Below are 27,899 nucleotides of genomic sequence, written 5' to 3' on the forward strand. Positions count from 1 at the left end.
TGTGAGATTTGGAGACGTCCCCGAAGACTCAGGCCCTCCAGGAGCCTCCCTGAACCCACATGTCCTTCCTGGCTGCTCTCGCCATCCTCCTTTAGGATTTATTTTTCAGTGAGTGAGCTGGCCGGCTTGGACACTAAAGCAGGGTGTTGAGTGTGTTTCTGGGGACTGTGTTGGGCTCCGTCAGTGCTGGTTCAACATCCACACCGACCCGGCTGCCCTTGCATGGATTCCAGGTTGCGGGAGGGCCCCGGGCTTTGGCAATGCCTTCCAGGCTTGGTGGAAGCTTCTCAGTGGGTGGTGGGCTGGCTGACCCGAGGGCCCAGAGATAGAAAAGGGGTCTCTGGTCTGCCCTCAGGGGACTGGGATGAGGACAGGACCCCAGGCGCTTGGGAGCCTCCACAGTTGCAGAGCCAGGCAGACAGCCTGGGGGTGTCCCTTCCCATGGGGTCCAGCCTGTGGTTCCTGGGAGCCCCCACTCCAGCCTCCTCCAGATGCCATGGGGGGCCTGCTGGTTTAGGACCCCTTAGCCAGCTCAGTCTATGGCTGTGGGCTGGCTCCCAGCCCCCTGTACCCACACTCTCGGGGTCAGCTGTCTGTGCGGCCTGATCAGGAGGCCCCCGGGTAGCTTCCCTAAGGCTGTCTCTGTGGCTCAGGGGCAACTCCCTAGGGCAGTGAGGGCAGGTGTCACTCTCCCCTGCACCGGGGCCCTTCTGCCTGCTCCCCTTCCCTCGCCCCTGCCACACTGTGCTGCTGGGGAGTGAGGCTGGTGCATCGTGTACCTGCCCTGGGTGCCACGGGAGCTGGTGGTCAAGACGGGGGACTCGGCCTCCTCCGTGCAGCCCCTCAGCCCCTCTGGGCTCCCGTGCCACCCACTGTGAGTGCGGTGCCCACGATGACACTGTCTGTTCTGCAGACCTTGACAGAGCTGGAGGCGCTTTTTGTTTTTTGAGTTTTTTTGTTGTTGTTTTTCCTTTTTGTTCCCCCTACCCTCTGTCTAAGGGCTAGAGGTGCTTATTTTTCACCAAACTCACCTCCAGGAAGCATTTTACTGGTCCTGATTATGCACAAAGAAAGATGTCTGCATGCACGACGGGCCTCCCGCATTGTAGGGGCTGTTCTGCTCCGGGCACCCTTGTTCCAGGGCTGCGCTCCCCGGGCTGTCTCAGGGGCCACGTTGTCATGTTCCTCCTGCTGCGTGGCCCATCGTGCGTGCCCAGGACCAGCTCACGCCCTGTGTGACCGGCCACGTGAGCCCAGCCACAAGCAGCCGTGCGGACACTCGGGCCGTTTCCACTTTTTGGCTGTTGGGGTCATGCTGCCATGAACGTTTGTCTCAGTTCTCCAGTGAGCACCTAGGAGTTGAAGGTGGGGTTGCACAGGCTGCGCCTGATTTGGCAGGGAGCTGGGATGATGCTGCCAGGGAGCTCATTCGCGACTCTGCCCAGGGTTTTCCTTTTCCTTTTTCTGTTTTTTTTTTTTTTTTTTTGTGAGACAAGGTCTCCCTCTGTCATTCAGGCTGGAGTGCAGTCCTGCGGTCATGACTCACTGCAGCCTTGACTTCCTGAGCTCAAGAGATCCTCCCACCTCACCCTCTTAAGTGGCTGGGTCTACAGGTGTGCACCACCACACCGAGCTAATTTTGCTATTTTTCATAGAGACGGAGTCTCACTATGTTGCCCAAGGTGGTCTTGAACTCCTTGGGCTCAAGCGATCCTGCCCCCTCAGCCTCCCAAAGTGCTGGGATTACAGGTGTGAGACTCCACGCCCAGTCTTTTCTTTTTTCTTTTTTAGAGACAAGGTCGGTCTCTGTCGCCCAGGCTGGCGTGAAGTGGCGCAACCAGCTCACTGCAGCCTTGACCTCCTGGGCTGAAGCAATCTTTCTGCCTCCACCTCCCGAGTGGCTGGGACTATAGTTGTGCACCAGCACGCCCACCTCCTGCCCAGGGTTGTTACTGGGGTGGTCACGTGGGCAGCTTCTGCCTGGGATGGGCCACAAAGCCAGACTCCCGGCAGGGACACGGGTGTTCCACACAAGCTGCGTTGTTGGTTCCCTGACGCCCTTCAGGCTGGGGGGTGGGAAAGCCGATCCCCCAAGTGCCTGCAGAGCCCACCTGGCGCAGGCCTCGCCGCCTCGAGGCTGCTGCTCGCACTTCTGCCCCTTCCCCCGGCCAGGCCCCCGTTCCTTGAGGCCGTACCACAAGGTGCGTTCATTTTTCCACACCGTGAGCTGGGCTTGGCAGAGCCTCCACCTTGTGGCCAGTATTCCCAGTGGCCCCTTTGAGAGGATTTCCTGGAGCTCCCTGTCTGAGCTTCCCGGACTGAGGGCACTGGGAAGGAGCCTGCGGAGCTGGAGGTCAGCGGGTGGACGGGTTGCGCTGTCCTGGCTTTCGGAGTGTAGAGCCAGAGGGGATGGGACAGGTGCCCTGCTGCTGGGCTTGGTGGTCCCTGCTGCAGGGAAGGGGCAGCTGGTGTGAACACAAGGAGCTGCGGGGCTGGAGAAGGCCAGGGCCAGGAGCCTGCCGACGGACACCAGCGAGGGGCCAGGCCGGGCCAGGAGCCTGCCGACGGACACCAGCGAGGGGCCAGGCCGGGCCAGACTCCCTGGCCGGCTGGGATCTGACAGGAGTGCCAGGCTCCTTGGGCCGCCCGAGGAACCGCTTGTTTGCCTGTGCTTTTTCATCTGTAAATGGAATGAGTTGGACACAAGATCCAAGCGCCCTCCCCTGTTGGAGAAGGTTCTTGTGGGCTCTGGGCCCATCCCACATCCCACAGTGGGCAGGAGGCCACCAAGAGGTGCAAGACCATGCCCTCTGTTTCGATAGGAAGCTGGGCCTCAGAGGGGCCTGGGGCCTGTGTCTGAGACCCGGCCAAGTGCTGGACGTCTCCCCTTCCTCATGGCTGTTATGGCTGAATTACGTCCCCCCAAATTCTCATGTTGCAGCCTTAACCCCAGCACCTCAGTGTGGGACTGGGTTTGGAGATGGAGCCCCTACAGAGGTCAGCAGGTTAAAAGAGGCCATCAGGGCTCTGGGTGGGCCCTGATCCAAGCTGCTTGGTGTCCTTGTAAGAAGAAGAGATGAGGACACAGACACACACAGAGGGACAGCCCCATGAGGAAACAGGGAGGCAATGCCGTCTGCAAGCCCAGGGCAGAGGCCTCAGGAACCAGCCCTGGTGACACCTGGACCTTGGACCCCCGTGCCCAGGACAGTAGGAGAATTGGAGCCGCCTGGCTGCAGTCCTTCCCGATGGCACCCTGTATTAGTCCGTTCTCACACTGCTAATTGTTGGGAAAAGGGCTTGTGGAATGCCTGTATAAACTGGCCATGAAAATATGGGACAATAAGTTGTGGAAAGCCACAAGAGGCCTCTGAGGAGGAAAGCCTCCTAATTGCCATCATGTTCGCATGCTCAGGGCGAGACCTGCTGTCTTATCTGTAAACACCGTGTTCAAGGAGAAAGACATTCCTTCGAAGCACTGGACTGTGGACAGACACACGAGCTCCTGGTTAAGCCCGCTCCCACCAGCTCCTGTCCGATAAGTTAAAGATACGCTGTTTGAGCACAAAGGAGATTCATTGAAACCGCTATTGCTGTAGATTACGCCTGTGACGCACTGCCTCCCTTTCACTGTTTCGCCCTGAATATCTGCTTCTCAGATCTAAGTGACTGTACTCAATAAATAGCGTGGAGACCAGAGCTCAGTGCCTTTTGCAGCCTCCATTTTGCCACTGGCCCCCTGGCTCCTACCTTTATGAACTCTTTTCTTTTTCTTTTTTTTTTTTTTTGGAGACGGAGTCTCACTCTGTTGCCCAGGCTGGAGTGCAGTGGCGCGATCTCCACTCACTGCAAGCTCCACCCCCTGGGTTCATGCCATTCTCCTGCCTTAGCCTCCCAAGTAGCTGGGACTACAGGCACCCGCAACCACGCCCGGCTAATTTTTTTGTATTTTTAGTAGGGACGGGGTTTCACAGTGTTCACCAGGTTGGTCTCGATCTCCTGACCTCACACACCACGCCCAGCTAATTTTTGTATTTTTTAGTAGAGATGAGGTTTTGCCACGTTGGCCAGGCTGGTCTCGAACTCCCGACCTCAGGTGATCTGCCTGCCTGAGCCTCCCAAACTGCTGGGATTACAGGCGTGAGCCACCGCACCCGGCCCCACCTTTATGAACTCTTAACCTGTCTCTTCTCATTCCTTTGTCACTACCGGACGTTGGATACACCATGGGTGGTGTTGAGGCTGGTCCCCAACACTAATAAAGACATACCTGAGACTGGGTCATTTGTAAAGGAAAAAGGTTTAATGGACTCACAGTTCAGCAGAGCTGGGGAGGCCTCAGGAAACTTACAGTTATGGCAGAAGGGGAAACAAACACCTCCTTCACATTGGCGGCAGGAAGGAGAAGTGCAGACTGAGGGGCCCAGGGTTTTAAAAGCCCCTTGAAACCATCAGCTTTTGTGAGAACTCAGTCACTATCATGAGAACAAGATGGGGGAACCACCCCCATGATTGAATGACCTCCTGCCAGGTCCCTCCCACAACATGTAGGGATTATGGGAACTGCAATTCAAGATGAGATTTGGGTGGGGACACAGCCAGGCCATGTCACCTCCCCAGGAAAGGAGCACATGTGCAGCAGTGGTGAGTCCCACCCTGCCTGGAAAGATATCAAAATCCGAGGGCAGAAAGGACCAGGAGGGACCATTGCTCACCTCCCTCCTCCTACCCCTTACCCCAAACCCCGCCCCAGCCTGGCAGAAGCCTCCTCAGGACACACCCTCCACCGGAGGGGCAGGCTGCTGTGTGAGGCACTGACCTCGCCCGCAGTGGATACCACCTGCCCCTCCTGACCCCAGTGACTGTTAACCCAGAGTCCATCAGGGGCTTGGTCTCTGGCAGACCCACCCCTCAGTGCGTACACTCTGGTGTCCCGGGCAGAGTACAGGGCAGGCGCCCCCAGGTGCACCCCCCAGATGCCGCACTGTGCCTGGAGCGTGGCTCCTGATGGCAGTCTCAGGACCTTTGCGCCACACGTCCTCCCGTGCGACGGCTGCTGGGGAAAGCCAAAGGCGTCCCTTCCAGCGGGAGCCAGCGACTGGTACGCAGGAGGGCCCTCAGGGGCAGGAGCCATGGAGCCCTCCTCTGGTGTGGGAATTCAGGGGATCTTAGCCACAGGGCATGGCGCGTGGGCGCAGAGCCGGCCGTGACCCACAAGTGCGTGATACTTGTACTTTGCTATTCTAGGAACCCATACATCAGTTTTCCTTATTTGCTGAAAAAGGCATGCATTAGAGGGGTGATTCATGTGGGAGGAGGCCGGGAGCCCCTCGATGTGAGGCGTTTCTCATGGGCGAATGTGGGGTATCCATGGTGGACCCCCACCCTGTGTGGATGGCTGCCCCCTGAGCAGTGCTTTGAGCTGGAGCTGTGGTCAGGTTCCGCAGTGCAGGAAGGGCTCCCAGGAGGCTGGTGGTCCCGCCTGCAGGAAGCCGACGCGTCTGTCCTCACACATTGATATGCCTGTCTGCCTGGGACGGACACTTCACCCTGGCTACCCATCGGGCCAAGGGCAGGTTGTATACACCTGGGCTGAGGCCTCTTTCTCATTCACATCTATCTCTTGCTCAGGAGTTGATCTAAGACAGGCTCTAATTGCACCTTAATAAGCTTGTTGGGGAGGAGTTGGGGGTGGGGACATAACAAGCCCTACCTGCCAGGGTATCCGGGTGACAGTGGCCGGTGGCCGAGCACCCCGGCCTGAATAGCTGGGGACTAATGCAGGAGACGCTGGGAAACAAGAGACTGTGACGTTGTGCGGAGGGAGTAGCCAGGGGCCTTCCGGACAGCAATGGGGGAGCAACGCAGCCGTGAGCTGGTGTGTCTCTCCCCACGCTCCTCCTGTACCTGGGACGCAGCTCCCGCAGGAACTGGCAGTGGGAGTGTGGGGGCCACGGAGGTCGTAGTAACCATCCCTGACAGTGCAGGGGCGGGGGGCTCGCGGGGGGGCTCGCGGGGGGCTCGCGGGGGGGCTCGCGGGGGGGCTCGCGGGGGGCTCGCGGGGGGCTCGCGGGGGGGCTCGCGGGGGGCTCGCGGGGGGCTCGCGGGGGGGCTCGCGGGGGGGCTCGCGGGGGGGCTCGCGGGGGGCTCGCGGGGGGGCTCGCGGGGGGCTCGCGGGGGGGCTCGCGGGGGGGCTCGCGGGGGGCTGGCGGGGGGCTGGCGGGGGGCTCGCGGGGGGGCTCGCGGGGGGGCTCGCGGGGGGGCTCGCGGGGGGCTCGCGGGGGGGCTCGCGGGGGGCTCGCGGGGGGCTCGAGGCGTCCCATGTGGGCAGCCGTTGGGACCTGCCAAGCACTGCGCCTAGTGATCTCCTTCGGGTTTGAGCCAGTCCATGGGGAGGAGCCGTCCACCAGGCAGCCTCAGGGAGAGTGGGCGGGTGTCAAGGGAAGCCCACGGCCCCAGCTGGCCCCCTTGTGTCTGAGCCCCCATGGCTTCCTCTGCCTCTAGGCTATGCCCACTGGAAGGGCCAAGTGCTGAATTCAGATGAGCTCCAGGAGTTGTACGAAGGCCTGAGGCTGAACAACATGAATAAATATGACTACGTGCTCACAGGTAGGTGCCGGAGCAAGCTGCCGCAGGGGACTACGCACCCCACTCCAGCCAGGGTGGGCTCAGGGAGGTCCAGAGCACCCCCGCCCTGGGCCTGTCTCGGGTCCCTGCCCCTTCAAGGAGGGCCTTGGCGTGCCCAAGCCACCATCACACCCCCGGTAGCCTGGGGGGTCCTGGCCACACTATGCCTGCCGGGACAATGACTGCCCAGGCTGTGCCAAGTCACCCCCACTCCTGTGACCACACTGGGGTTCCAGTGCCCAGGGGAGGGTGCAGGCAGGGTGTTGGGAACGCTGACCGGGGCAGGACAGGTGGGTGGGACACTCAATTAGGTGACGGGCTGCTACCTGGTACACTGCCATCCTTTGTCAACTTTCTGGTTAAAAAAAAATTGTATTTGTATACATGTTTATTATTATTATTATTTTTGAGACAGGGTCTCACTCTGTGGCCCAGGCTGTAGTGCAATGGCACAATCATAGCTCACTGCAGCCTCAACCTCCCAGGCTCAGGTGATCCTCCTGCCTCAACATCCCAAGTAGCTGGGAGTAAAGGCGTGCACCACCATGCCCAGCTAACTTTTTGTGGGTGTGTGTGGAGACAGGGTTTTGCCATGTTGCCCAGGCTGGTCTTGAACTCCTAGGCTCAAGCCAGCCACCCACCCTAGCCTCCCAAAGTGCTGGGATTACAGGCGTGAGCCACTGCAGCCAGCCTGGTTTCTACACTTTTAAATGGTTAGGGGAAACACTTAGCCTCCCAAAGTGTTAGAATTACAGGCGTGAGCCACTGCGCCCAGCCTCTCTACATGTCTAAAGGTCACATATAAGGCCAGGCACAGGGGCTCGAACCTGTAATCCCAGCACTTTGGGAAGACTAGGAGGGAGGCTCGCTTGAGACCAGGAGTTCAAAACCAGCCTGAGCGGCATAGTGAGACCTTGTCTCTACAAAAAAATTTTTAAAAATTAATTAGCTGGGCACAGTCCCAGCTACTCGGGAAGCTCAGGTGGGAGGATGGCTTGAGCCTGGGAGTTCAAGGCTGCAGTGAGCTATGGTTGAACCACTGCACTCTGGACTAGGGGACAGAATGAGACCCTGTCTCAAAATAAATAAGATTAAAGTGTCATATGCTTATTACTGAAAGTAGAAATATAAATAAAGGAAAGATCACTCCTTCACCTCTCGCCCGTGGGTTCATTCCTGTGAAGCACAGCGTTTCTGTTGAGAAATGCTGCCGGGTCTGCCCTCCGTGTCTTTCAACTGTGAGGACACCTCGTTTGCACCCACCTCCCTCCCCCCAGCTCCTGAGCACTGTGGGGACACCTCACCTGCACCCACCTCCCTCCCCCCGCTCTGAGCACTATGGGGACACCTCGCCTGCACCCACCTCCCTCCCCCCAGCTCCTGAGCACTATGGGGACACCTCGCCTGCATCCACCTCCCTCCCCCCGCCCCCAGCACTGTGGGGACACCTCGCCTGCACCCACCTCCCTCCCCCCAGCTCCCGAGCACTGTGGGGACACCTCGCCTGCACCCACCTCCTTCCCCCCAGCTCCCGAGCACTGTGGGGACACCTCGCCTGCACCCACCTCCTTCCCCCCAGCTCCCGAGCACTGTGGGGACACCCCGCCTGCACCCACCTCCCTCTCCCCCGCCCCCAGCACTGTGGGGACACCTCGCCTGCACCCACCTCCCTCCCCCCAGCCCCCGAGCACTGTGGGGACACCTCACTTGCACCCACCTCCCTCCCCCCAGCCCCTGAGCACTGTGGGGACACCTCGCCTGCACCCACCTCCCTCCCCCCTGCCCCTGAGCACTGTGGGGACACCTCGCCTGCACCCACCTCCCTCCCCAGCCACCCCTCTGCAGGGTCTGCTGGTGCTTCTCTTTCTTTGTGCCACAGTTGATCGTGGTGAGTCTCCTGTTTTCTGAGGGTGACCTGGATTCTCCCCCTAAAGGTTATACGAGGGACAAGTCGTTCCTGGCCATGGTGGTGGACATTGTGCAGGAGCTGAAGCAGCAGAACCCCAGGCTGGTGTACGGTAGGCAGGGGCCCACCCTCGGGTCTGGCTGTGTGGCCCCACACGGGTGGGGCTGGCCTGGGAGCCCGGGAAGGGACGTCTTAGCCTCCTTCCTCCTCTGCACGCCTCCGTGCCCCGCCTCTCCGGGCCAGTGAATTGTGTCTGCTGGGCCTCTGAAGATGTTGGCCTGCTGAAGTCCGCTGGGCTAGAAGCGTTTGCAGGTGACCCTGGTGTCTTGTGTGGCTGGTGTGAGACAGGAAGGGGTGTCAGTGTGCTCGTATAGTGGGGCTGCTGTGTGAATGCCTGGGGCCCAGGCAGCACTGTTGTGTGACTACACTCACCCTAAAGGCGGAAGGGGCAAGGGGCCACACCCAGGCAGGGCCAGGCTAGGGAGTGGGGGAGGGCAGGGTCATACCCAGGCAGGGCCAGGCTAGGGAGTGGGGGGAGGGAGGGTCACACCCAGGCTGGGCCCGCTAGGGAGTGGCCAAGTCTTTGGGGCATCTGCCTTGATCGGTCTTTCGTTAGAGGCCAGGCAGTGCTGGATCCATCTTGACGCCTGGCAGAAGGGGCAGCGTCACCAAACCTTGCAGACAGGCTCTCTCTGGGGCACAGGTCTCCCGGGTGGCAGGAGGACAGGCCTGGCCTAGCACATGGTTTGCCACGCTGTGTACTGTTGCCCAAAAGGAGAGTGCTTGTCGGTACAGACGTGTGAGGCCCGGATTGTGTGTGCTCGAGGCCAGGAAGAGGAAGGGAGCTGCTGCACCTGCTTGGGTGACAAACAGTGATGAATAGCACCTCACAGCAATTAGGATGACTGTCATCAAAGACACAGAAAATAGCAAGTGTGAGCGAGGATGCAGAAACCCTCATGCACAGCTGCTGGGAGTATGAAAGGGTGCAACCACTGTGGAAAACACGTTGGTAGTTCCCCAACAAGTGGAACACCATCACCATGTGACCCAGCAATTCCGCCCTGCGCATGTATCCGAAATAGCTGAACACAGACTCAAGCGGATGTGCGTATTCCCACGTCTATAGCAGCGTTGTTCCCAGTGACCAAATGTGGAAACAGGCTGTGTCTGTTGATGGGTGATAGACAAACAAAGTGTCCGTACATACAATGGAGTATTACTCAGTCTGGAAAAGGAAGGAAATTCTGACACACTCTGCAATGTGGATGGCGCTTGAGGACATGATGCTTAGTGAAAGTAGCCAGACACCAAAAAGGGAGACTGTTACACGATCCCGCTATCTGAAATAGCTAGGAAAGGCCAGTTCATCGAGGTAGAAAGCAGACGAAGGCTCGTCGCGGCTGGGAAAGGCCAGTTCATCGCGGTAGAAAGCAGACGGAGGCTCGGTGTGGTGGCTCACGCCTGGAATCCCAGCACTTTGGATGGCTGAGGTGGGCGGATCACCTGAAGTCAGGTGTTCGAGATCAGCCTGGCCAACATGGTGAAACCCCATCTCTAATAAAAATACAAAAATTAGCCAGGCCTGGTGGCGCACACCTCTAATCTCAGCTACTTTGGAGGCTGAGGCAGGAGAATCACTTGAACCCGGGAGGCGGAGGTTGCAGTGAGCCAAGATTGCGCCACTGCACTCCAGCTTGGGTGACAGGGCGAGACTCCATCTCAAAAAAAAAAAAAAAAAGAAAGCAGACTAGACGTTACCAGGGCCTAAGGCAGGGGGAGTGGGGCGTGAGTGTATAGTGAGGACAGAGTTTCAGTTTGGGAAGATGAGAAGTTTTGGAGGTGGATGGTGGTCGTGGTTATACACGGTGAGAATGTCCTGAATGCTCCTGAATTGTACGCTTAAACATGCTTACACTGGCAAAGATTATGGTATATATTTTTTACTATATTAAAAAGTTAAAAAAGGGAAGATACCTACTTCAACTTGGCAGCTTAAAAAACAAGAAAAAAGAAAAAAGCCAAATGTGGTTGCTCACACCTGTGATCTGAGCACTTTGGGAGGCCAAGGTGAGAGGATCGCTTAAGCCTAGGAGTTCAAAACCAGCCTCGGCAACATGGTGAGAACCCATCTGTACAAATCATTTAAAAGCTAGCTGGGTGTGCTGCTGCATGCCTGTGGTCTCAGCCACTTGGGAGGGTGAGGCAGGAGGATCGCCCGAGCCTGGAAGATCGAGGTTGCAGTGAACCATGATTGCACCACTGCACTCCAGCCTGGACAACAGAGCAAGACCCTGTCTTAAAAAAAGAAGAAAGAAATGTGGAGGGTTTCTTACTCGTCAGCTGTAGCCTTTGCTGATAAGATGCCCTTGTGTCTCTGCAGTGTGTGATCCAGTCTTGGGTGACAAGTGGGACGGCGAAGGCTCGATGGTGAGTAGTTTCACGTGTGTGATTTAAAAGTGTGGTGAGTGGAGCTATTCCTGTCCAGCCAGAAGACAGGCCCACATCTCTAAGTGTCTAACTCGGTGGGACTCCTCTGTCCAGGGGTAAAAAGACAAACCTTGTTAGGAAGGAGAAAGGGAACCGACATATTTTCTGTAAAGTGCCTGACGGTAGATAAATATCGACACCTTTGCCGGCCGCACAGCCTTGCCACAGCTGTTCTCATTAGAGCACAGAAGCAGCCACAGATAAGAGGTGTACAAACATGATGACTTCTTTTCTTTTCTTTCTTTTCTTATTGAGACAGAGTCTCACTCAGTCACCCAGGCTGGAGTGCAGTGTCATGATCTCAGCTTACTGCAACCTCTGCCTCCTGGGCTCAGGCAATTCTTAATGCCTCAGTCTCCCAAGTAGCTGGAATTACAGGTGCACAACACCACTCCCAGCTAATTTGTATATTTTTACTAGATACGATTTCACTGTGTCGTCCAGGCTGGTCTCGAACTCCTAGCCTCAAGTGATCCACCTGCCTTGGCCTCCCAAAGTGCTAGGATTACAGGCATGAGCCACCACGCCCAGCCATGGATGACTATTTTCTAATAAAATTTCATTTGTGGACACTGAAATTTGAATTTTCTATAATTTTCATGTGTCACAAAGTGTCATTCTTTTTTTGGCTTTTTTCCCCTAACCATTTAAAAATGTAGAAACCAGACTGGGTGCAGTGGCTCACGCCTGTAATCCCAGCACTTTCGGGGGCCAGAGCGGGTGGCTGGCTTGAGCCCAGGAGTTCAAGACCAGCCTGGGCAACATGGCAAAACCCCGCCATCTCTAATCAAAATACAAGACAATGAGCTGGGTGTGGTGGCACCTACCTATAGTCCCAACTACTTGGGAGGCTGAGGTGGGAGGATCACTTGAGCCCAGGAGGTGGAGGCTGCAGTGAGCTGAGATCGCACCGCTACACTCACTCCACAGAGCAAGACCCCATCTCAAAAAACAAAAGAAAAATCTAGAAACCACTTAACCCATGAGCTGTGTAGTAACAGCAGCAGCTGCAGCCCACAGACCTGGACGTCGGATCAAGTGGATGGAGAACAAATCCACTGTGACCAGTCCAGAAGCCTAGAATTTAGAGGCGGAAGGAACCCAAAGGTGATCCTGCCTGTGGGTTTTTAACTCAGCCATTCAGCGCCCAGGCGATTTCAGTATCTGCCTTCTTTGTCGTTGTGTCTAGGGTGTCTGTTTGCTTGCTGTATATTCACTGAGCACAGCGGGCTTCTCCACTGGCACAGGGCACGCCTGGGCCTGTGCCCTCCCTGCCCCGCTGGGTCAGTGGTTGAAGTCAGGATATCTGTCACTGGGCATCTAACTGGGTGGGGCGGGCTGGTGTGCTCAGCGTCTGTCTGTCCACTTTCTCCCATGCTTGTTCTCTGGAAGGTTCCCTGTCCTGCGCCCAGCCTGCAGGACCCCAGCTTGCAGCTCCCTGCCTTCCCTTCATGGTGCTCCCTGGTGTGGGCTCTGCTGACCCTCGGCAGACACTTGCGTTTGGATCACGAAGAGTTGGGGCCACTGTCCAGTTCAGTGCGGCTACGGGATCTGGCCCCTCGATTTTGATCACATTTGTTTTCCTGAACAAGAGTGGCCTAAACACGAGCTCCTGTCTCAGATGAGCGGTCACCCCGTATCTCCCCTTTCCGTGAGGTTAAAGGGGTGTGTTGGCCCTCCCTACCCAAAATGGGGCTCTAAAGAGCTTTCCTTCGATTTCCTGGTCCAGGGATCGGGGACATCCACGTGCCACCCACCCATCCTTAGTGCCTCCTAAGCCATGTCTGGAGCAGCGGCCGGCGTGTGACCACTTTGTGTGCTCTGAGCACCAGGTGCAGACATGCCTCCTGTGGGGCCTCTGATCTCCAAGGGAGGTTTCCGGGAGCAAAGTGAAGTGAAGGGATTGGAAACTCAGGCCACTCAGCCAGCAGGGGCTGCTGAAATGTTCCATGAAGCCCACAGAATTCTTCCAGAGCTTCGCACTGCCTCCGGCTTAAATTTGATCGCTAAAGAAAACCATGTGTTGCCTGGCACAGTGGCTCACGCCTGTAATTCCAGCACTTTGGGAGGCTGAGGCGGGTGGACCACCTGAGGTCAGGAGTTCGAGACCAGCCTGGCCAACATGGCGAAACCCCGTCTCTACTAAAAAAAATTAGCCGGGCGTGGGGGCAGGCGCCTGTAATCCTAGCTGCTCGGGAGGCTGGGGCAGGAGAATCGCTTGAACCCAGGAGGTGGAGGTCGCAGTGAGCCAAGACCACGCCATTGCACTCCAACCTGGGCAACAGGAGCGAAACTGTCTCAAAAAACAAAACAAAACAAAAAAGTGTTGAATTGTTTGTCAGGCAACTTAGACAAAAACTAGATGAAGGGTGCATTGACTCAGCCAGGAAGAGCTGGCGGGTTGGGCTCCCAGTCGCAGATGGACATGGCCAGCACCCCCAAGCCCTCACCAGATGACCAGGGCTGCTCCATCCACCTGTGGGGTTTCCCTTTCCTCGTCTCCCTCCTCCCTCCCTCCCTCTCTCCTTCACCTCCTTCTCCTCCCAGACACTCTGTGGGGACCCACTGTGCGCCCTGAGTCCTCCCTCGGCCCCTCGGAGCACTTAGGGTTCCCCACTCTAGTGTGCCTCGGCCACACGCTGTCCCCGTGGTGGGAACAACTTATCGCTACAGTCGGGGGGCCTGGCCCCTGAGCCTGGACTTCAGGGGGCTTTTGGGGGAGCACTCCGTGGTGGGCTTCCCTCCGCGCCCCCTGGCGTGCTTCCCTCACGGTGACTCAGCCTCTCCTCCTGTCTCCTTTGTTGGCCAGTACGTCCCGGAGGACCTCCTTCCCGTCTACAAAGAAAAAGTGGTGCCGCTTGCAGACATTATCACGCCCAACCAGTTTGAGGCCGAGTAAGTCATTTTATTTTATTTTACTTTATTTATTTATTTTTCAAGATGGGTCTCGCTCTTGTCACCCAGGCTGGAGTGCAGTGGCACGATCACAGCTCACTGCAACCTCTGTCTCCGGGGTTCAAGCAATTCTCCTGCCTCAGCCTCCCGAGTAGCTGGGATGACAGGCGTGAGCCACCACGCCCGGCTAATTTTTGTATTTTTAGTAGTGACGGGGTTTCACCATGTTGGCCAGGCTGGTCTTGAACTCCTGACCTCAGGTGATCCACCCATCTCAGTCTTCCAAAGTGCTGGGATTACAGGCATGAGTCATCGTGCCCAGCAGAGTAAGTTATTTTAAATGGCAAATGCTACCAGTCTTTCCCCAGGGAGAGCTGCAGAGAACATGCCAGAAGGGTCTCCACTCTGCCTTCGGGCTGCCTGTTTAGCTTACGAAGTGGTTCTCAGGAAGGTCCTGCCATGGGGCGAGTGCCCCTTGATACTGGAGCAGGATGTGGTGGGGGCGCCTGGGTTGGAGAAGCCCCTGCCCACCTGGGTCCCAGGCTCACGTCTTCTCTTTGGTGGTGGCAGCCATGGGTGATGGGGATGGTTTTGCTGCCCCTGTGCCTTCCTGAGCGGCAGGGCCCCTGGGAGAGGAAGAGGAGGGGCGACCTGGGGAGCTGTGGGCTTGTCGGGGCCACCACAGCAGAGGGAGGGTGGGGGCAGCACAGGCGGCCAGGTCACCTGCCGCCCTGTGAGGGGAAGAGGAGTGTGTTGGGCTTGGCTGTCTGATACCGAGTTTGAAAAGGTCTTTCTTTGGGTGCATGGCTCCCCCCAGCTGAAGAATCACACACCAGGGGAAGCCACCAGCGCCCCAGTGCCATGAAGAGTGGAGCTGCCCGCGGAGGGGGCTGGTGCCTGTCACAGCTTAGCTCTACCTGGCCCTGAGCCAGGTCTTGAGCCCCCCCATTCACGCAGGGGTGGGGGCGCCTGGACTCTTGGAGGCCTGGGATCCCTGACCTGGGCCTGTCCAAACTTGGGGGTGGCATCTCACTCGAGGCCCCTGAGCCATGGGTGGCCCATGCGTGCATTAATCGCTAGCGGCTCTTTGACTTTGTATGGATGTCAGTCACCCATGCTGAGACCCTGCGCTGTGGCATGGGCCTTAAGTGGGGGCCGTGGCTGCTGTCCATCACCACGGTTACGTATAAACAGCAGCCATGATTGGGCCTTACGTGACTCCTGTAATGTGAGGGTCCCCTTTAGAACCAAACCCCACATGTTGCAGGGGCCCCGGCCCAGGGTGGCCAGTGGACGAAGAGTTAGCTGCCTGTGGGGATGGGGATTTCCAGAGCCGCTGCGGTTTGGGGAATGTCAACACACAACCCGGAGAGGAGAGGCTCACCTGTCCCCACCCGCCTGTCCCCGCCTGTCTTCCAGGTTACTGAGTGGCCGGAAGATCCACAGCCAGGAGGAAGCCTTGCGGGTAAGGAGGCCCTCTGGGGCCTGTGCGGGGCACATGTGCCGCTCACGGTGGGGACGGGAGACAGGCTGCCTGAGTGGCACCACTGTGTCATTTCTCCCCAGCAGTGACTGAACAGTCTGTACCAGTCGGGGCCTCCAGAGATCAGCAGGATATATGTGTGTGTGTACATGTGTGGACATGTTTGTGCATGTGTGTGTGTGTGTGCATGTGTGCGTGTGTGCGCGCGTATTGTGTGTGGGTGTGTGTGTGGATGTGTGCGTGTGTGCGCGCACCCATGTGTGCATGTGTGCACGTGTGTGTGTGCACATGTGCATGTGCGTCTGTGTGCATGTGTGTCCATGGGCGTGTGGGCATGGGTGTGCACGCATGTGTGCATGTGTGTGCGTATGTGTGCACGTGTTTGCACATGTGTGTGCATGTGTGTGTGTGTGTGTGCACATGTGTGTGAAGAGCTATTGTAAGGCGGTGGCTTGAGCTGTGTGGGGGCTCCTGGGCATGTTTGGGATTTGCAGGGCCAGCTGTTGGGAAGGGCAGGCTGGAGGCTGGACACAGGAGCAGATGCAGCAGCCCAAGGTGCAGTTTCTTCAAAGTCCTTTTTCTCCGGGACTTGGAGACCGTGCGTGTCTTGCTAGCATTGAACCTTGGTTGAGTCATCTTAGTCTGTTGGGGCTGCTGTGACAAAATGCCTGAGACTGGATGATTTATAAAAAACAGAACTTTTGGCCGGATGCAGTGGCTCACGCCTGTAATCCCAGCACTTTGGGAGACTGAGGTGGTCAGATCACTTGAGGTCAGGAGTTCGAGACCAGCCTGGCCAACATGGTAAAACCCCATCTCTACTAAAAATACAAAAATTAGCTGGGCATGGTGGTGCACGCCTATAATCCCGGCTAGTTGGGAGGCTGAGGCAGGAGAATCGCTTGAAGCCAGGAGGCGGAGGTTGCAGTGAGCTGAGATTGCACCACTGCACTCCAGCCTGGGCAACAGAGTGAGCGAGACTCCATCTCAAAAAACAAAACAAAACAAAACAAAACAGAACTTTGTTCCCCACAGTTCTGGAGGCTGGGAAGTCCAAGGTCAAGGCACTGGCAGGCTCAGGGTCTGGCGGGGGCTACTTTGCTACCCGGACTGCACCTTGTTGCTGCATCCTCATGTGTGGATGGCAGGGGGCTCGAGGGGCCCATGCTGCTCCCTCCAGCCCTCATCAGGCACAGAGAAAGGGGAGCCCTCATGACTTAATCATGCCCCAGAGGACCCCTTCTGAATATTGCCACATGGGTGCCATGTTTCAACATGCATTTTAGAGCAGACACTGTCAGACTGCAGCAGGAGTCCATGTGCTTTGGGCTGCGTTCCCAAGCAGCCTGGCGCTGCCCTGAATTTTGTCTTCACAACCCAGGAGCCTGGTCCTGAGAATGGGCCACTGCAGCAGCCACTCCTCCCACTCGGAGGCCTTTCGCTGACCTGGTATTGGGTCCTGGGACTGCAGAGTCAGCTGACCCTGGAGCAGGGTCCAGATTCTGCTATGGACACGTGCTGGGTGGCGATGCAGCACATGTGTGTGTGTGTGTGTGTGTGTGTGCGCGCGCGTGCTGCCCGATCTGAGGCAACCGTGCGGTGGAGACAGTTTCTACGAGAGTTACAGAAAAGCCAACGTACAGAGGGGCCAGCTCCTCCTCGCTGCAGGACAGGCACCCATCTGTCCACCCCCCAAGGGGGAGGCCCTCGCCAGTCACCTGTGGGGAGCCACACGGTTTGGGCTGACAGTTTGTGGGGGGATGGTGGCTGACCAGGTGGCTGTCTTCCCTCCGGGAGTGCCGCCATTGGGAACGGGCTCTGGGGGAGTGGGGTGTGACCGGCCGTGGCTGATGCTCCCCGTGCCACTGCCAGGTGATGGATCGGGGAGTGGGGTGTGACCAGCCGTGGCTGACATGTGACCGGCCGTGGCTGACGCTCCCTGTGCCACTGCTAGGTGATGGACATGCTGCACTCTATGGGCCCCGACACCGTGGTCATCACCAGCTCCGACCTGCCCTCCCCGCAGGGCAGCAACTACCTGATTGTGCTGGGGAGTCAGAGGAGGAGTAAGTGCCCCCATCGTGCACCGTGGCCGCCTCTGCTCTTCCCAGAGGAAGGTGTTCTTTGGGGCTGCAAGAATGTTTTGGGTTCAATAGCATGAAATTTAAGCCTTATCCAGCACCGGGATGACACCCCCATTTTACAGACTCTCAGGGATCAGGTGGGATTCCCAAGACCTCACAGGTCACGATGAATGGCCTGGCTGGAACTGGCTTCCACGGACCCAGCATCATAGGCCTCCCTCAGAGCCAGGCGGGGTCCCTGAGTTCACTGGGAGGACGCGTCCACCCGGCTGTGCTGATTGTTTACACAGACACCACCTGGTTGATTTTCTCTGAACAGTGTGAAAATGACGCAGAAGGCTGGGGCCATGCACTAAGCTAGTGGCCGCGGGTTCATACCCATGGGCCCAAAAGAACAGCTGTGACCTCCTTGCCGCTCTATGTTTGGACATGGGAGCCTTGCAGGCACACACATAGGCACAAATGCACATACACTTGGGCACAAATGCACATACGGGCACACACGTGGACATGGGCACACATAGGCATACATGCACACATACACACGGGCACACACAGGCATACATGCACACGGACACATGCATACACACGGACACACATGCATACACGTGGGCACACGCACACACATGCACACACACTCGGATGCGTCCAGGTACATCCTAGTTCTTCACGCCGTCGTTACTCTCGGGAGTTTCACAGCGACCCCCGAGGCGGCCTGACCGTGTGGCCCTCTGAGGGTGCAGTCTTTCCCTTTCCCTTGCTGCGGTGATGGGGACCCCATGCATGCCCTGAGCCCCCACGTCCTGAGCAAGGCCACCTTGTGCTCTGCCCCTGTGACCCTCCCTGCCGCCGTGCCCAGGAGGATCAGGGATGGGAGGCTGGCCCTGGCAGAGGAGCGGCAGATCTCAGTGACCTTGCCCATCTTCTCCCCCTAGGGAATCCCGCTGGCTCCGTGGTGATGGAACGCATCCGGATGGACATTCGCAAAGTGGACGCCGTCTTTGTGGGCACTGGGGACCTGTTTGCTGCCATGCTCCTGGCGTGGACACACAAGCACCCCAATAACCTCAAGGTCAGCCACACGCACCGCTCCCCTCCTCGCCCACTCCCACGGCACCTCATGGGGAGCAGGATATGAGAGTCCTGGTGGGGGGTCCCTGCTGAGCTGACAGGGCATGGCCCTGAGTGCTGGCCCCAGTTGTGGGGGAGGGCAGTGGCCAGGCCATGACAGGAGTTGCGCCTGTCACTCTCACATCGCCTCCCATCTCCCCTTATTTGGGACCTAGGGATGATCAGAGTCTGTGAGGGCTTGGGTGACAGATGTTTCAGAACAGACCCATGGGGGTCCCACCAGGATTCAGATGCCACCCGCTTGGCGTTGGCGCAGGGCTGTGGGATGCATGGAGCTGTTGTGTCCTTGGTGACTTGGGGGCTGCTGCAGAGGAGTGGCACCCTGCAGCATTTCCCACAGTGTGACCACGGCAGTGACCTGAGGGACGGAAAGGCCGGAGCCGCCCTTCGGGGACAGTAGGTGGGAGGCTGAGGACAGGGGTCCAGGCAGGTGTGGAGAGCCGTCTTTCTGGGCGTTTTGTCTGGATGTCTGCCTGCTTTTCAAGTTTGTAGAGATCGGGTGGCTTTGCTTAGACAGTGGGGGGAGTGGGACTGTTGGGCAACTGACATGGCAGGTTGGGATGTGGGGTCTCGTGAGCCTTTCTCGTGTGTCCCATGGGTAAGCACACAGCTCAGCGGGGACAGAGGAGTTTTGTTGCAACTGTGGCGCTCAGATCCGTGACCTCCCGTGCTGCATGCAGCAGAGTTGCTTGTGGCCTCGGCAGGTGGTTTTGTCAGCTGAGTCCGAGGACGCCTGGAGTGTGTCTTCTTACAACACCGTCCAGAGCCGTGCTGTGCTCTGAGGTGGTCCCCAGCCCCTGGGCTCAGCCCCCAAAACTCCCCTGGGTACTTCCCACTGCGTCCGCAGTGGGTTCAGGTGGGAGGGAGGGGCCTGCCATCCCTTTGGAATGTGGGGCAGGGCAGGGGTGCCATGGGAGTGACAGGAGGAAGACAGGACACCTCTGTCACTATTGGGTGCGCTGGGGAAGGAAGAGTTCAGAGGTCAGGACCTGCAGGTGGCTCTCCCTGTGCTGTCTTTGCCGGGCCGCTTAAGGGGCCACGTGTCCCCCGGGGTACACCTCCTCCCCAACAAGTCAGTTTCAGCTGAGTGTCCTGGTGTGTAAAATGGAAGAGGTGGACTGAGGCCCTTTGCCTCCCATGGGACTAGCCCTCTGCACACCCTGAGCTGGAATGCACAGCCCCCTCATTCCATCCCTTCTGGCCCCTCAAGGGCAATTAAACAGGGCCATTAAGTAAGCCTGCCGTGTTTAATTGGTGGTGCAGGGCAGTGGAAAAGTGCCAGCTGGCACCCCGAGGAGGCCTCACTGCCAGGCCGCCCAAGGTCACATTCTGGGTTTGGCCAGCCCAGGGTTGTGGAGTCGGGGAGCGAGTTCCCCGTGCTTCCCCAGCACCTTTGACTCTGAGGCATCACTGAGTGATGATTGGCTGACTCTGAGGCATCACTGAGTGATGATTGGCTGACTCTGAGGCATCACTGAGTGATGATTGGCTGACTCTGAGGCATCACTGAGTGATGATTGGCTGACTCTGAGGCATCACTGAGTGATGATTGGCTGGGCTTTCGGCAGGAGCACTTCCCCTTGTAGACTCGTTATAAGGAGTTAATTCTGGGAACTCCTACCAAGCTCCTGCTGCCTGCCAAGTTCTATGCAGGTCACGAGGCTGTCCCTTCTGTGAGCCATCTCTTGTCCAGAGCAGGTAGCTGGGACCGGGCATCTGCTCAGCCCTCCGGGCTCTCCGTGGTGGGCAGTCCGCAGCCTGTCCTCCAGGGTTCAGCACGTGCATTGGCGGAGCCGGCTCCCCGGTGGCTCGGAGAGCAGGACGGCCCTTGTGTTCCCTGGAAATCCCCTCCTGGCAGCAGTGGGCACGTCGGGTGTTGTGAGTGGGCCAGGGGCACAGCAAGTCTGTCCTCCCTGCAGGTGGCCTGTGAGAAGACCGTGTCTACCTTGCACCACGTTCTGCAGAGGACCATCCAGTGTGCAAAAGGTACGGCGGCCGGGCTGCATGGGCTGCGTGGGCTCCTGGCTCCCGAAGTGGGTGGGAGAGAAGAGCTGGCACGTGCTGGTTTTGAAGGTGTGATCGGTGTCTCCTGCTGACCTCACCTCTGGGAGTGGGGGCAACAGCGGGAGCCCCTCTGAGATGGGAACTCAGTGCTCTCTGCCTGCCCCGCAGCCCAGGCCGGGGAAGGAGTGAGGCCCAGCCCCATGCAGCTGGAGCTGCGGATGGTGCAGAGCAAAAGGGACATCGAGGACCCAGAGATCGTCGTCCAGGCCACGGTGCTGTGAGGGCCCCGCCGCTTGCCCGTGACACGCAGCGCGTTGGTGTCTCCGTGTTTGTCCCTGTGAAAACATGTAACGTCTGCCTTAGAGCCATGACCGAAACTTGATATTTTTTTCTTTCATGAGTGTCCGGCATCTGCTGGTCTTCATTGTGAAACGTGCCAGTCGTGCTTTGTGAAAAATAACAAAGTGGTCACAGAAATTTGTGATCTGAAAACCCGGCTCCCTTCCCCACAAGGCTCCTGGGCCTCCGGGAAGACGGGCCCCTGTTTGCCATCTCGGGGGTGTTCCCTGTGGGAGGGTGAGTGGGTGAGGCCGAGCCTGCTGCGTGTGGAGCCTCGAGTGGGCCCTGGCTGCCACTACCGTACAGAGGCCGTGTCGCGCTGGGCTGGGCCTGGGTGGCCTCTGTCTTTGCATCTCTGAGAAGGAGTCGGGTGGTAACGGTTGGGGTCAGGAAGAATTCTGCCAAGTATCTTTACTGTCATTCTGACCATAGCCTCTTTGTTCCCGCATTCGAACTTTTGGTTCTTACTTTGCTGCTCGTTTAGTCCCTGGGGATTTCAGATCTTAGGCTGTTGTTTCACCGTATGGGAGGGTTGATGTGAGCTTGCTTGGAGACACACGGTGCAGCATCAGGGACCTTCCCAGGCCCCAGCAAATTCAAGTCGGTCTGCAGACCTCTCAGCTACCCGCGGGACCTCTTGTAACCCATCGGCATCTTCCAGGAATCCGCCGAGTGACTTGAGGAAGATGCTAACGCAGTAAGGTCTGTGCTGGGCCAAGAGCAGCTTTGAAGCTCCAGAGAACCACCCCGTCAGGTTCCTTGTGGAAGCTCCCCTCATCCGTGGTGCAGCAGGCTGAGCACTGCGCGTTTGCCACGTGCTGCCCGTGACAGCACATTGAGCCACAGCATTTGTAGACAGGACAGAGGGGTGCCTGCCCCCTGCCCCTGCTGGCACATTTAACCCTTGTCCCCTGACCTCAGTTCTGTGCCCCACCAAATGCCCAGGGGCAAGAGGCCACCCTGGAAGCTGCCAATCTTCCAAGGTGGGTGTGGGGCACGGTGGGGGCGGGCAGCTCCCAGGCCCTTGGGCAGGCTGGGGTGACGGCAGAGGCCACAGCACCAGCTCTGACAAGTCCTATCATCCTCTGCTCAGCAGTGACCTCCCTGGCCCCACTTTGCCCAGAGTTTGGGGTCCCCCCAGGTATAGCTATAGGCGGCAGTGCCTGTCCCTGGCCTGCCTTGATTTCAGCCACACCCCTGCAGCCCTGCATCCCAGCTCTGGGGTGTGCAGAGGTTTGTGTCTCCAGGGAACCCACGGCTGGAGAGAAATAGGGAGATGCAGGAAGTGGGGGCCCATGGGGCCCCCAAGAAGCGGACTCTCCAAGGGGTACCCCCACCCCGCTACCTTCCCCACGGACGGGCCCCTCCTGGAGCCCATACCCTCCTGTGAGGCCATTCCAGTGTCTTCTAGAAAGACTCGCTTGCCAGGAGTGCGTTCTTTGTTGAAAAATGCCCTGAAGCGAAAAGATGCAGGTTTATATGGAACCCCCACCCCCTCCCCCACTCTCCCACTCTGTTCGTTCTGAATGTCTTCACGAGCGTGCATCAGGGCGCCTGGCTCCCCCACCTCAGCCAGTGAGTCAGACACGGGTTTCGCAGCCATGTTTCCTGGCTCCGAGGACACGGGTGGCAGGCCCGTTGCAGCCCAGAGCCACTGGTCCCTACAGGGCGCCGCCACACCAGCAGGAAGGAGGATGGCTGTGTCCGGAGCCTGGCGGGGAGGCGGCCTCCCCAGTATGTGAGTGCAGGGATCTGCCAGAACCACCTGGCCCTCTGTAGGGCGTTTAACTGGAAATACCCTCACTGCCAAGTGGAGACTGGGGCGTGTGCCACATTGCCAGCCACCAGGAAAGCTTTTCTTTTTCTTTTTTTTTTTTTTTTAAACACCAAGAGCACGTATAGCATGGGGGAAAGAACCTAAATGTCTCTCTGTCCTGTGAGCTGGTGAAAAACCCAGCATGAGAACGCAGTGTCAGGTGTGGGACTCCTTCTGCCCCTGCAGTGGGTGTTACGGGCGGTGTGCCCTGGCGAGCAAGCTTTGATTCTTGGTTCTTTGAGCTCGTTTCAGAGGCTGAGTCCCCACATCAGCTTTAGTTCTTGGACTTCCCTGTATTAAGCAAGAATTAGGAGAATGGCTGTCCCTGCAGGCGCCTCCCGTAAATCCTGAGCTCTCTGGCGCAATCTGAAACTTCTCTTCTGTTTTCTTTGGCTGTATCAGCCGAACCAGGAGAGGCCTGGGCTGCGACTAAGGAGAAAGAAATCGGGGGTTTCTGAGAGCAGATGGTGCCTTTGTGGGTGCAGGGCTTTTGTGGAAATTGTCAGCCTCTACGGGCAGAGTCCGGCATCCCCTCCCCAGACTGCCTGCTGTCAAACCACGGAGCAGCTGGAGCCTGCCCTGTCCACGGCCCGTTTCCACCCGGGCATGTTCGTCTCTCCTGACTTCGGCAGAGGCCCCTGGTGGCCTTCAGTTTCAGTTTCTCATCCAGGAAGGTAACCTTGGGCATTGGCAGTGGGTTTCCCTATGGCTTGGATCCAGATTAGAATTGATCTTTGTTTTCACTTTCCATAGTTAATAACATGCAAAATAATGAGAAGAATTTATTTTAAGGTGACAGCTATACTGGTCCAACATCGCCTGCTTATTGTCAGGGTACAGAAGTTTAATACTTTCTTAATCCAGTTTTTCAAACTTCTCCCTGTAGACCGTAAGGATGAATTCCACAATAGGATCCTTTTTAAAATCGATTTTAAATTGTTGCCTAGTCCTGCCAAGGTTATTATGTGCATCTGTTATTTTTCCAATACATGTAAACAGTTGCAGCATGATGCTTTGTTTAATGTCCTGTTCTTAAGCTCGTTAGAGCCAGTTTTGAAACGTTTGGTCTTACCGTGAACGGAGGCTGGCTTGGCTTAGCCACGCTGATGAGTAAGTGAGGGATGTCTCCATCTTGAGATCACCAGGCAAGAGAGTTGCCTGCACCAGGTAAGAGGCCAAAGCCCCTGGGGTAACAGTCCCCACCGCTACCCGAGGTAAAACAATAAAAGCTATGTGGTTGAGCTCAGGCCTCTCGTGCCTGGTGTCAGAGAAGGCAGAGCCCACAGTAGGTGCACGGTGCAAGGCCCTGGGAGGGCACTGGCCAGGGAAGGTGGTATAGATGGCCCTCAGATTGCGGGGCCCCGAGCAGCTCCCCACTCTGCCCGTCCACCTTCCCTGGCTCCAGCCTCATTCTCTCTTTAGTTTAACTATGCAAAGAGAGGAGGTTGAGAGTGTTCTGGCAGCTGGAGCTCTTTTCCTTGTCCTTCCTGCCCTCCGATGGGGCCACCTGTGTCGGGGCAGCAGTGTCCATGTTTATGGAGATCAGAGGTGTCCCCACTGTGTGGCTGGACTGTACTCTGCTGCCCGGGTAGCCAGGAGTCTCTCCCTCTCTCCCCTGCCGCCTGCCTGGTCTCATGGGCCTCCTTCACACACCCCTCCCTGTGGATCGCCTGCCTGGGCCCAGAGCAGGGGAACTGGAGTTTGTGAGTGAGCAGAGCAGGTTATGTGCAGACAGGGAAACGAGAACTTTGGACCTGGCTTTCTGAGTCCAGGTGAGAGCTGTGTGGCCCCCCGATGCCACTCTGCCCGCCGGAGGGATGTGCCTGCTGAGCCTTTTCCTTCCACGCCGCCTCTCACTGCCAGGCCAGCGGCTTCCGCTGAGACTCGCTGGAGAGGCGGCTCCCGTGTCCGTCCACCGAGCACTCAGATGGATGCTGATCACCAGGGCCGAGGGGGCTCCCAGAAGGACCCCAGGCCCTGGGGAGGGTGGCTGTGGGAGGCCAAGTCCACTGCCCGGAAGTCTTGTCAGCCCTAAGCCAGGGAAGCCTGGAGCGTGGCCTGGCGGGTCTGGGTGGACACCGTCCCCACTCCGGACTCCCAGCACAGGGGAGGATACCTGAGCCTGTATGGCCCTGTAGCCCTGGGCAGAGCTGGGCCTGTCGTGTGTTCCTGCCTGGCAGGTGCAGGTGCTGGCCATCTGCAGGTGGAAGGAGGTGGGAATCTTGGATTTTTTGTTTTTTTTTGTTTTTTTTTTTTTGAGGTGAAGTCTCGCTCTGACACCCAGGCTGGCGTGCAGTGGTGTGATCTCGGCTCACTGCAAACTCCGCTTCCTGGGTTCAAGTGGTTCTCCTGCCCCAGCCTCCCAAGTAGCTGGGATTACAGGCATGCGCCACCACGCTCAGCTGATTTTTGTATTTTTAGTAGAGATGGGGTTTCACCATGTTGGCCAAGCTGGTCTCAAACTCCTGACCTCAAGTGATCTGCCCGCCTCGGCCTCCCAGAGTGCTGGGATTACAGGCATGAGCCAGTGCACCCGGCGGAATCTTGGAATTTTTATAGACAGCACCTCAGTTTCTGACTCCAGCCGCACACCTCCTGCCTCTGCCAGCAGGGGTTGCCGCCAGACCAGAGCCAGGGCCAGGTCCCTGCGTCCATCCCCCCCGGTAGGATGGACGTGAGCCATCCTTCTAGGGGACTTTTTTCAGTGTGCGACTCGTCTCTGTTAGGTGGTAGGAGCCAGTTTGTGTGGCCTGTGCCACGCTCCACAGTGCGTGGCTGGGCTCTGTGTGTGGCCTGTGTCCCCTGTCCCTGCAGGACCCAGCAGGCATCGTGGCGTGACAGCTGTGTCCAAGCCACTGCCCGGGCATCCCATCACCCACCAGGGTGCACGGTCTCTCCTGCTGGGGGCTTTCTGTCGCATGTGTGTCTCCTGTCGACTCTGCAGTTTGTTCTCAGAGCAGAATGTTTCCTGTTCTCAGTGCACAAAGACACTGGTTTTCAATCGGCGTCTAAAACCACGTTCCTGCCTTTCATTGCAACACGGTGTGTTCATTTGTTTAAAACAGTTTAATGAGTAAGTTTAGATGACTGGTCAATATCTTAAAAATGTATATTAGTAAGAAGTTCTTCCTGGAATTTTTCTTTCGATTCTGGCAGAATAAACAGGTGTTTTTAGTTTTCCCACTGTCTGAGCCAAGCAGGACCCTGTCCCAGAGCAAGAGATGTCCCCTTCCATCTCTGACCCTTGCCTGGGACAAGCTTTGATGGGGGGCCCCAGCTTCAAGGCTGTGGTGGGAACAGCACCCCCAAATGCCAGCCTCTCCTTTCTTCCCATCCACCAGTATACTGCGGGGCCATTTCTGGTCTTTGTCCAACAGGAAACCCATTTCTGGTGGGATATGCCTTCCAGTGCCACAGGGCCACTCACCCCATGCATCTCTGTCCTGCCCGTCAGTGCTGGGACGGACAGCAAGGGCAAGCCCAGTGTCTGGCGGATAGGTGGGTGGGAACAGAGAGGGGAGAATGCCGTCCTAAGCTTCTGCTTGGGGATCCCCCACACGACCTGGGTACTGCCTGGGAAACCTGTCCTAAGTAAAACTATGGACCTCGCCTCGCCCACCGGCCTGCGAAGCCAGCATCTCCGTGAAGGTGGATGGAAGCGCCTTTGTCCTCATTTTGAGCTGCAAGCTGGGTCAGCGGCTCTGAAGCCCTCGAGTGACTTTCTAACCCAAGACCCAGCCCCTGGCAGGAGGAGGGTGGGTGCAGGGCTGGTGGGACAAAAAGAGGCCTCAGCAGGCCTGGAAGACCCTTCCAGTACATCCCACAGCGTGTCGAGCAGCTGGGAGAACCTGTGTCAAGCTCGAGCCGTCATAGGTCCCCATGAGGTGTCTGAAGCCCCTTCTTGGTGATGGGAGGCAGAGGTGCTGACGTTCTGGAGCATGGACGTGAGTCCTCAGCTGGCTCCGCGTGGGCCCTTGGAGGGTGCCAGGTGTGTGGTGACCTTCTGGATGCCTTTAACTTCATGGCTGCGTCATTCCTGATTTAGAACTTTAACCGGAGCTTCATCTAGTGATTGCAAAACTGGACCAATGGGAGGACGGCGGCGCAGCCCGCTCCCTCCGTGGAATGGAGCTCAGCTCTTCGGAGGCATCAAAGCACCTGTCGCCTCCGTGGTCCCCCTGCTGAGGGAGTGCGGCCTCTGCAAGGTTCGGGGGTGGCTTCGTTTGCCTGGAGTGGCCGGCCCTGCTTGTGCCATGTGGATGTTTGTGAGCCTCGGTCCTACAGCACTGTGTAGGCTGCATCTGTTTCGTGCTGGTCCTGTTGACTTGTATGATATCCACAAATAAATATTTTCATGGCGGTCGTGTTGAGGCATGATGGTTCCTTCCCATCCCAGGAGCTCCCTACCTGTGATTGGCTGAACACCCAGTACCCTGCCAGCCACGCTAGGGATTGCTGCTGGAAATGGTGGCAGCTGACTCCCTAAAAACCTCCCCTTTGGAGGAAAGAGCATGCCTTGCCCCTGCCTGCCGGGCCCAGGCCCCCTCCCATCCTGCACTCTGTTTTCTGCCTTGGGGGCTGGCCTGGGTGCCCCGGCATGGGCTTCCTGCAGGACTTCCCAGGGCAGAGCCCTCAGGGATAGGAGGCCTCCCTGTGCAATTCTGAGGCCCAGCTCTGGGTGTTGGCCAAGGGTGTCTGCTCCTCCTGGGATCCACCTGGCTCCTTCACACCTGGGTGGTGACGTTGTAGTGCCTCTGGCTGGGCAGATCTCGTGTTCCCTGACTCATGTGCACCTGTGCGATAAACCCACAGACCATCTCCAGCAATGCCAGGCTGGTTGCTGTGTGCCAAGAACAAGGAGAAGGCGGAACCAGGGGCTGCAGAACCAGCCCCTCCCCAATGAGGACCCCCTCTGGACGCCCCTCCCCATGGAGAACACCAGGAGCCACAGACCCCAGACCACAGAGCACACAGGGGAGGGCACGGGGCGGCCGGGGCAGGGTGTCTGCTGCCTCGTTTATGGGATTTGCTCCGCGTCTAGCACACTGCTGCCTGCAGTGCTCCTGTCCCCTGCAGTGGCTACTCTGGGCCTACGGGCCTAATCCTGGTTGGCATGAAAATGTC

At 57.8% G+C, this 27,899-nt stretch overlaps 1 protein-coding gene and 1 long non-coding RNA gene across 14 annotated transcripts in view, besides 3 other annotated features; both read left to right on the forward strand.

Annotated features, from left to right (window-relative positions):
- Nucleotides 1-27,137, forward strand: part of PDXK (pyridoxal kinase) — a 43,171-nt gene extending 16,034 nt beyond the window's left edge. For 6 of the 13 annotated variants that reach the window (NM_003681.5, XM_005261195.3, XM_005261199.3 and 3 more), the window contains 9 exons: nt 6,505-6,609; nt 8,562-8,645; nt 10,917-10,963; nt 13,833-13,918; nt 15,338-15,383; nt 17,356-17,467; nt 18,421-18,557; nt 20,536-20,602; nt 20,789-27,137. In NM_003681.5, the coding sequence (NP_003672.1) occupies nt 6,505-6,609; nt 8,562-8,645; nt 10,917-10,963; nt 13,833-13,918; nt 15,338-15,383; nt 17,356-17,467; nt 18,421-18,557; nt 20,536-20,602; nt 20,789-20,901 (797 nt within the window). In that variant the 3' untranslated portion in view covers nt 20,902-27,137. Of the gene's footprint in view, nt 1-2,941; nt 5,879-6,323; nt 6,411-6,503; nt 6,610-8,506; nt 8,646-10,916; nt 10,964-13,832; nt 13,919-15,337; nt 15,384-17,355; nt 17,468-18,420; nt 18,558-20,535; nt 20,603-20,788 lie in introns of those variants that run through there. The other 7 variants (XM_047441005.1, XM_047441004.1, NM_001331030.2 and 4 more) reach the window with 6 other exon arrangements.
- On the forward strand, nt 1,838-2,935 carry LOC105372824 (uncharacterized). The gene has a single exon (XR_005647074.1). It is a non-coding gene; the product is annotated as an uncharacterized LOC105372824 (long non-coding RNA).
- Nucleotides 2,030-2,529: an enhancer, noted in NCBI's record as "H3K4me1 hESC enhancer chr21:45157073-45157572 (GRCh37/hg19 assembly coordinates)". NCBI's record gives its function as "activates a minimal SCP1, AML or CMV promoter by ChIP-STARR-seq in naive H9 embryonic stem cells {active_cell/tissue: H9 hESC(naive)}" and the evidence as "EXISTENCE:reporter gene assay evidence [ECO:0000049][PMID:30033119]".
- Nucleotides 4,461-5,199: an enhancer, noted in NCBI's record as "H3K27ac-H3K4me1 hESC enhancer chr21:45159504-45160242 (GRCh37/hg19 assembly coordinates)". NCBI's record gives its function as "activates a minimal SCP1, AML or CMV promoter by ChIP-STARR-seq in naive H9 embryonic stem cells {active_cell/tissue: H9 hESC(naive)}" and the evidence as "EXISTENCE:reporter gene assay evidence [ECO:0000049][PMID:30033119]".
- Nucleotides 5,200-5,938: an enhancer, noted in NCBI's record as "H3K27ac-H3K4me1 hESC enhancer chr21:45160243-45160981 (GRCh37/hg19 assembly coordinates)". NCBI's record gives its function as "activates a minimal SCP1, AML or CMV promoter by ChIP-STARR-seq in naive H9 embryonic stem cells {active_cell/tissue: H9 hESC(naive)}" and the evidence as "EXISTENCE:reporter gene assay evidence [ECO:0000049][PMID:30033119]".
- Nucleotides 27,138-27,899: the final 762 nt, after the last annotated feature.

Source organism: Homo sapiens, chromosome 21, assembly GCF_000001405.40.
Source record: "Homo sapiens chromosome 21, GRCh38.p14 Primary Assembly".
Classification (NCBI taxonomy): Eukaryota; Metazoa; Chordata; class Mammalia; order Primates; family Hominidae; genus Homo; species Homo sapiens.